The sequence below is a fragment of the Homo sapiens genome, chromosome 17 (genome assembly GCF_000001405.40).
Source record: "Homo sapiens chromosome 17, GRCh38.p14 Primary Assembly".
Taxonomy (NCBI): Eukaryota; Metazoa; Chordata; class Mammalia; order Primates; family Hominidae; genus Homo; species Homo sapiens.
Genome location: NC_000017.11, coordinates 7,541,842 through 7,548,069, shown reverse-complemented (window position 1 = coordinate 7,548,069; position 6,228 = coordinate 7,541,842).

Genomic DNA, 6,228 nt, shown 5'->3' with positions numbered 1-6,228 from the left:
TCACGAGGTCAGGAGATCGAGACCTGCCTGGCCAAGATGGTGAAACCCTGTCTCTAATAAAAATACAAAAAAATTAGCCGGACGTGGTGGCAGGCGCCTGTAGTTCCCAGCTACTCGGGAAGCTGAGGCAGAGAATTGCTTGAACCCAGGAGACAGAGGTTGCAGAGAGCTGAGATCACGCCACCACACTCCAGCCTGGGCAACACAGCAAGACCCTATCTCAAAAAAAAAAAAAAAGAAAGAAAGACCAAAATTAACAAACAAAATTTGACATTGGAGGAAACAGAGATAATTCAGGATACAAAGAGTACTACCTAATATACTTAAAGAGAGTCAAGAAAAAGCATCCATAGAGCTGGGCATGGTGGTGCATGCCTGTAGTCCCAGCTACTCAGGAGGTTGAGATGGGAGGATCACCTGAGCCTGGGAGGTTGAGGCTGCAGTGAGCTGTGATCACACCACTGCATTCCAACACGAGCAACAGAGTAAGACCCTGTCAAAAAAAAAAAAAAAAAAAAGAGTATGCAAAGAAAGAAAAGCAGTTAGAATCTCCAGAAAATTTTCAAAACTGAAATCACAATGTAAATAAGAAACAGCTGGGGCCAGTTGTGGTGGCTCACGCCTGTAATCCCAGCACTTTGGGAGGCCAAGGTCGGTGGATCACAAGGTCAGGAGTTCAAGACTAGCCTGGCCAAGATGGTGAAACCCTGTCTCTACTAAAAAAACAAAAATTAGCTGGGCACGGTGGCGGGCACCTGTAATCTCAGCTACTCGGGAGGCTGAGGCAGAGAATTGCTTGAACCCGGGAGGTGGAGGTTGCAATGAGCCGAGATCGCATGACTGCACTCCAGCCTGGGCGACAGAGCAAGACTCCATCTCAAAAAAAAAAAAAAAAAAAAAAAAAAAAGCAACAAAACAGGCTGGGCATCATGGTGTGCACCTGTAGTCCCAGCTACTGGGGAAACTGAGGCAGGAGGATCGCTTGAGCCCAGGAATTCCAGGTTGCCATGAGCTATGATCTGGGCACTGAACTCCAGCTTGGGCTGCAGAGGAAGACCCTGTCTCAAAAAAAAAAAAAGATAATAAATAAATAATAAAATAAAAATAAATAAATACGGGCAGGGCATCATGGCTCACGCCTGTAACCCTAGAGCTTTGAGAGGTTGAGACGAGAGGATCTCTTGAGGCCAGGAGTTCAAGACCAGCCTGGGCAAAATAGTGAGAACCCCTTTCCATCTCTACAAAAAATACAAGAAAAATTATCCAGGTGCGATGGCATGCTCCTGTAGTCCCAGCTACTGTGGAGGCTAAGTCAGGAGGATCACTTGATCCCAGGAGTTTGAGGTTGCAGTGAGCTATGATCACCCCATTGAACCGAAGCCTCGGCAGCAGAGTGAGACCCTGTCTCTATAAAAAATAAAATAAATAGGCCGGGCACAGTGGCTCATGCCTGTAATCCCAGCACTTTGGGAGGCCAAGGTGGGTGGATCACCTGAGGTCAGGAGTTCGAGACCAGCCTGGCCAACATGTAGTGAAACACCATCTCTACTAAAAAATACAAAAATTAGCTGGGCATGGTGGTGCACGCCTGAAGTTCCAGCTACTTGGGAAGCTGAGGCAGGAGAACTGCTTGAAATAAAATAAATAGGCCGGGCGCAGTGGCTCATGCCTGTAATCCCAGCACTTTGGGAGGCCAAGGCAGGTGGATCACGAGATCAAGAGTTTGAGACCAGCCTGGCCAACATGGTGAAACCCTGTCTCTACTAAAAATACAAAAATTAGCCGGGCATGGTGGCGCACGCCTGTAATCCCAGCTACTCGAGAGGCTGAGGCAGGAGAATCACTTGAACCTGGGAGGCAGAGGTCGCAGTGAGGCGAGATTGTGCCACTGCACTCCAGCCTGGGCGACAGAGTGAGAGTTCATCTCTCAGAAAAATAAAAATAAAAAATAAAATAAAATAAATGAAACACAAGCTATAACACAACATAATTGTATTTAATTGATACAGTATCAATTTAGGGCCTTAGTGCTTGCTTGCCACATTGTCCTTTGAGTGACACATGGATTATGGGATGGAGTGTGTGGAGAAGCAAGTGTAATTCCAGCCCATTGTTTGGCCTGAGGGTAAACAACGTTCATGTGGCCATAATAATGTAAATATCTTTGACTGGATTTCAACTTTTAGAGTCAACCTGTAGAAAAATCCAGAAGACTTAATGGCAGCAAAGACTGCAAATGCCCACAATTTTCACTTTTTTTTTTTTTTTTTTTTTTTTTTTTGAGACGGAGTCTCGCTCTGTCACCCAGGCTGGAGTACAGTGGCACAATCTTGGCTCACTGCAACCTCTCCCTCCCAGGTTCAAGTGATTCTCCTGCCTCAGCCTCCTAAGTAGCTGGGATTACAGGCGTGCACCACCATGCCTGGCTAATTTTTGCATTTTTAGTAGAGACAGGGTTTCACCATGTTGGCCAGGCTGGTCTCAAACTCTTGATCTCGTGATCCACCCGCCCTGGCCTCCCAAAGTGCTGGGATTACAGGCATAAGCCACCGCGCCCGGCCTATTTTTTTTTAAGATGGAGTTTCACTCTCATCACTCAGGCTGGAGCGCAATGGTGTGATCTCAGCCCACTGCAACCTCTGCCTCCCGGGTTCAAGCGATTCTCCTGTCTCAGCCTCCTGAGTAGCTGGGATTACAGGCACCCACCACCATGCCAGGCTAATTTTTGTATTTTTGGAAGAGACGGGGTTTCACCATGTTGGTCAGGCTGGTGTCGAACTCCCAACCTCAGGTGATTCACCCGCCTCAGCTTCCCAAAGTGCTGGGATTACAGGCGTGAGCCACTGCACCCAGCCTCTACTTGATTTTTATTATCAGGTGAATGCAGCATTTTAATTTGTAAAAAGAAAAAAATTGTACAGCAGCAAGCGTGCTGAGGAGAGGGAAAGTCATTACTCATCTCAGCCAGCGTGTGATCACACCTGCTAAAGGAAAAAAACAGGGACTGGAGCCTTGGAGACAGCAGATCATCCTCAGATCCTTTAACTTTGGCTTGAAAAATTAATTCAATACACTTAACCTTTTTGTTCTTGGTTTGCGGCCAAAGTTAAAATTAACTTGCATTTTTTAGGACACTGATAGGAAGTAACTTGGGAAACATGCAGGAAAAATACTGAAAGGAAATCTGCTAATATTTTTTATTCCTGCCTTTTTACACTTTTCTTACTTTTCACATTTTCAACCAAGATACTAAAGGAAAAAAAGGCTTTGTCATTTTCTTTTTTGTTTTTCTTTTTGGATATCCAGCTTGATTAGTATCACTTAAATGCAAGGCCATGCCTGGTGGTCACGCCTGTAATCCCAGCATTTTGGGAGGCTGAAGCGTGCAGATCACTTGAGGTCAGGAGTTTGAGACCAGCCTGGCCAACATGGTGAAACCCCGTCTCTACTAAAAATACAAAAATTATCCGGGTGTGGTGACGCATGTCTGTAATCCCCCTTACTCAGGAGACTGAGGCAGGAGAATAGCTTGAACCCAAGAGGCGGAGGTTGCAGTGAGCCGAGATCCCAGCTACTTGGGAGGCTGAGGCAGGAGAATCGCCTGATCCCAGGAGGCAGAGGTCGCAGTGATCTGAGATCGTGCAATTGCACTTTAGCCTGGGTGACAAGAGTGAAACTCCGTCTCAAAAAAAAATCACTTAAATGCAAATAAAGAATTTCACGTAGTCTGTAAGGGTAGGGACTGTGTATGCTTTGCAGGCATTGTATTTCCAGGGTCAGCAAAAGTTTGTTGAATGAATAAATATGGCCTAGCCTTCCCAGTCTGGCAGTGACTACTGAATATGGTGATAGTAGCAGCCTGAGAGTGGACAGTGACCATCCCAGTTTGCCGGGACTAAGGAGGTTCCCAGGATGAGGTACTTTCAATGCTAAAACCAGGACAGTTCTGGAAAAACCAGGATGAGTTGCTAACAGACCCAAGAGAGGACTAAATGCCACCCCCAAGCCACCACCACACTCACTTTTGGTCAAAATTCTTAAGCTTTATTTAAGCTTTAATCAGTCAATCAAACAACTCAAATCCCTGTCCTGGGCTTCTTTCTCTTTCCACTTCTACCTGCCACCTCCGTCTTCCCTAGATGTATGTCTGTCTGTATTTATCTGTTTGTTTGTTTGTTTAGTTATTTATTTATGTGAGACAGGGTCCTGTTATGTTGCCTAGGCTGGTCTCAAATTCCTGGGATCAAGGGATCCTCCTGTCTCAGCCTCCCAAGTAGCTGGGTTTACAGGCGTGTGCCATCATCCTGGGCTCTTCCCCAGACTTTACCTACCTTCTCTTCACTGATGACCCTCCTGTCCTCTTCTCCCCACTTCCCCAGTGAACATGGGCTCCACGTGGTTGGTCATCACCACAGGTCTCTCTCGTACTAAATCCAGCAGATACACCTTGGCCCTCATCTTACTTATTTGCAGCCTCTACGATTGTTTCCCACTCTCATTCTGAAGTCCTCCTTCCTTGGCCTCTTACCATTCTGCCTTCTAGTTTCCTTCACTGGTTATTTTAAGAACATAAATGTGCTATATTTAAGCTGGTTCATTCATTATATTACCAAGCTTGGTATCACAAATAGACTTCATATAGAAATGCTATAATCCTTCCTTCCCCTCCTTCCCTGCCTCCCTCTGTTCCTTCCATCCTTCCATTCCTTTCTTTCATAATAAGATGTTCCAGCTGCACCTTGTACTTCCTCAGCACCAGCCCTGAGATCAGAAGCCATTTCTTCAGGGAACGGTGCCCTTTCACGGAGAAGGATATTTAGCAACTAAGATCTGGGCACCGGGTAAACTCAGCATTCCTGGAAGTGAGGACTTTTAGCAGACAAAGATAGGATAGATACATATTGCATAAGTTCACAAGGACACTCTAATTTTGGTCCAACATCACAACATTCTGCCTCACGTCCCCTGTCCCATATATGTATCCCCTGTGTTAGTCTCGATGACAATGCTGTGTTTCCATCATTGCATTTCTCACAACTCGCACTTCTGGTCTTCCTCCCTCACTCAACCGTGAAGTTCTACTGGTTCAGGGGCCAAGTCTGTCTTGTAGACCATTGTTTCTCTGGTGTCTTGCTTAGTGCCTGACACACAGTAGGCACTTTATGTATTTGTTGAATGAATGGGTGGTCCAAGGGAATTCCCCAGGAGACTCTACCTGGGCCTTCTCTCCCTGGATAGGGGCTCCCTCTGAGCTCCACAGATGCCTGTTTTTGCCCCAGCCACACCACTATCTCATCATGTTACCATCTGGGCTCATCTGACTCTCCTACTCTCATGTCATGAGGGGGGGACCGTGGTTTACTCATCTTTGTTCCCTAGAACCTGGCTAATGCCTTACCATAGTAGTTGCTCAATAAATATTTGTTGCATAGAAGAGTGAATGATTTTGCTCAAATGCCAAAGCCAAGATATGGAAGCACCAGAATTCAAACCTGGGTCTCCAAAATGACATCCTGTCTCCATACCTGTTCCATTCCCCTCTGGACGAAGGAAGAGAGGACCCAGCCTGATAACAGTGCAGGGCTTGGTGGGGTTGCAAGGCTGGGTGGGCAATCCTGAGCCTGACCTGTTTTTTTTTTTTTTTTTTTTTGAGACGAAGTTTTGCTCTTGGTTTTGGTTTTTTTTTTTTTTTTTTTTTTGAGACAGAGTTTCACTCTTGTTGCTCAGGCTGGAGTGCAGTGTTGTGATCGCCATTCACTGCAAACTCCACCTCCCGGGTTCAAGTGATTCTCCTGCCTCAGCCTCCCATGTAGCTGGGATTACAGGCATGCACCACCATGCCTGGCTAATTTTGTATTTTGTATTTTTAATAGAGACGGGGTTTCACCATGTTGGTCAGGCTGGTCTCGAACTCCTGATCTCAAGTGATCCCCCCGCCTCGGCCTCCCAAAGTGCTGGGATTATAAGCATGAGCCACCGCAAGCGGCCTGAGCCTGACTTTCATCAGCTCCTCCGCCTTTGTACCTTCTCTGGCTATTCCAGTTTCCTGGGTCACAAGTTTCCTACCTTTATCCTCAGCTCTCCATTTCTTTTTGTTTGTTTGTTTGTTTTTTGGAGATGGAGTCTTGCTCTGTCACCCAGGCTGGATGACAGAGCGATCTCGGCTCACTGCAACTTCCACCTCCCACATTTAAGCGATTCTCGTGCCTCAGCCTCCCAAGTGGCTGG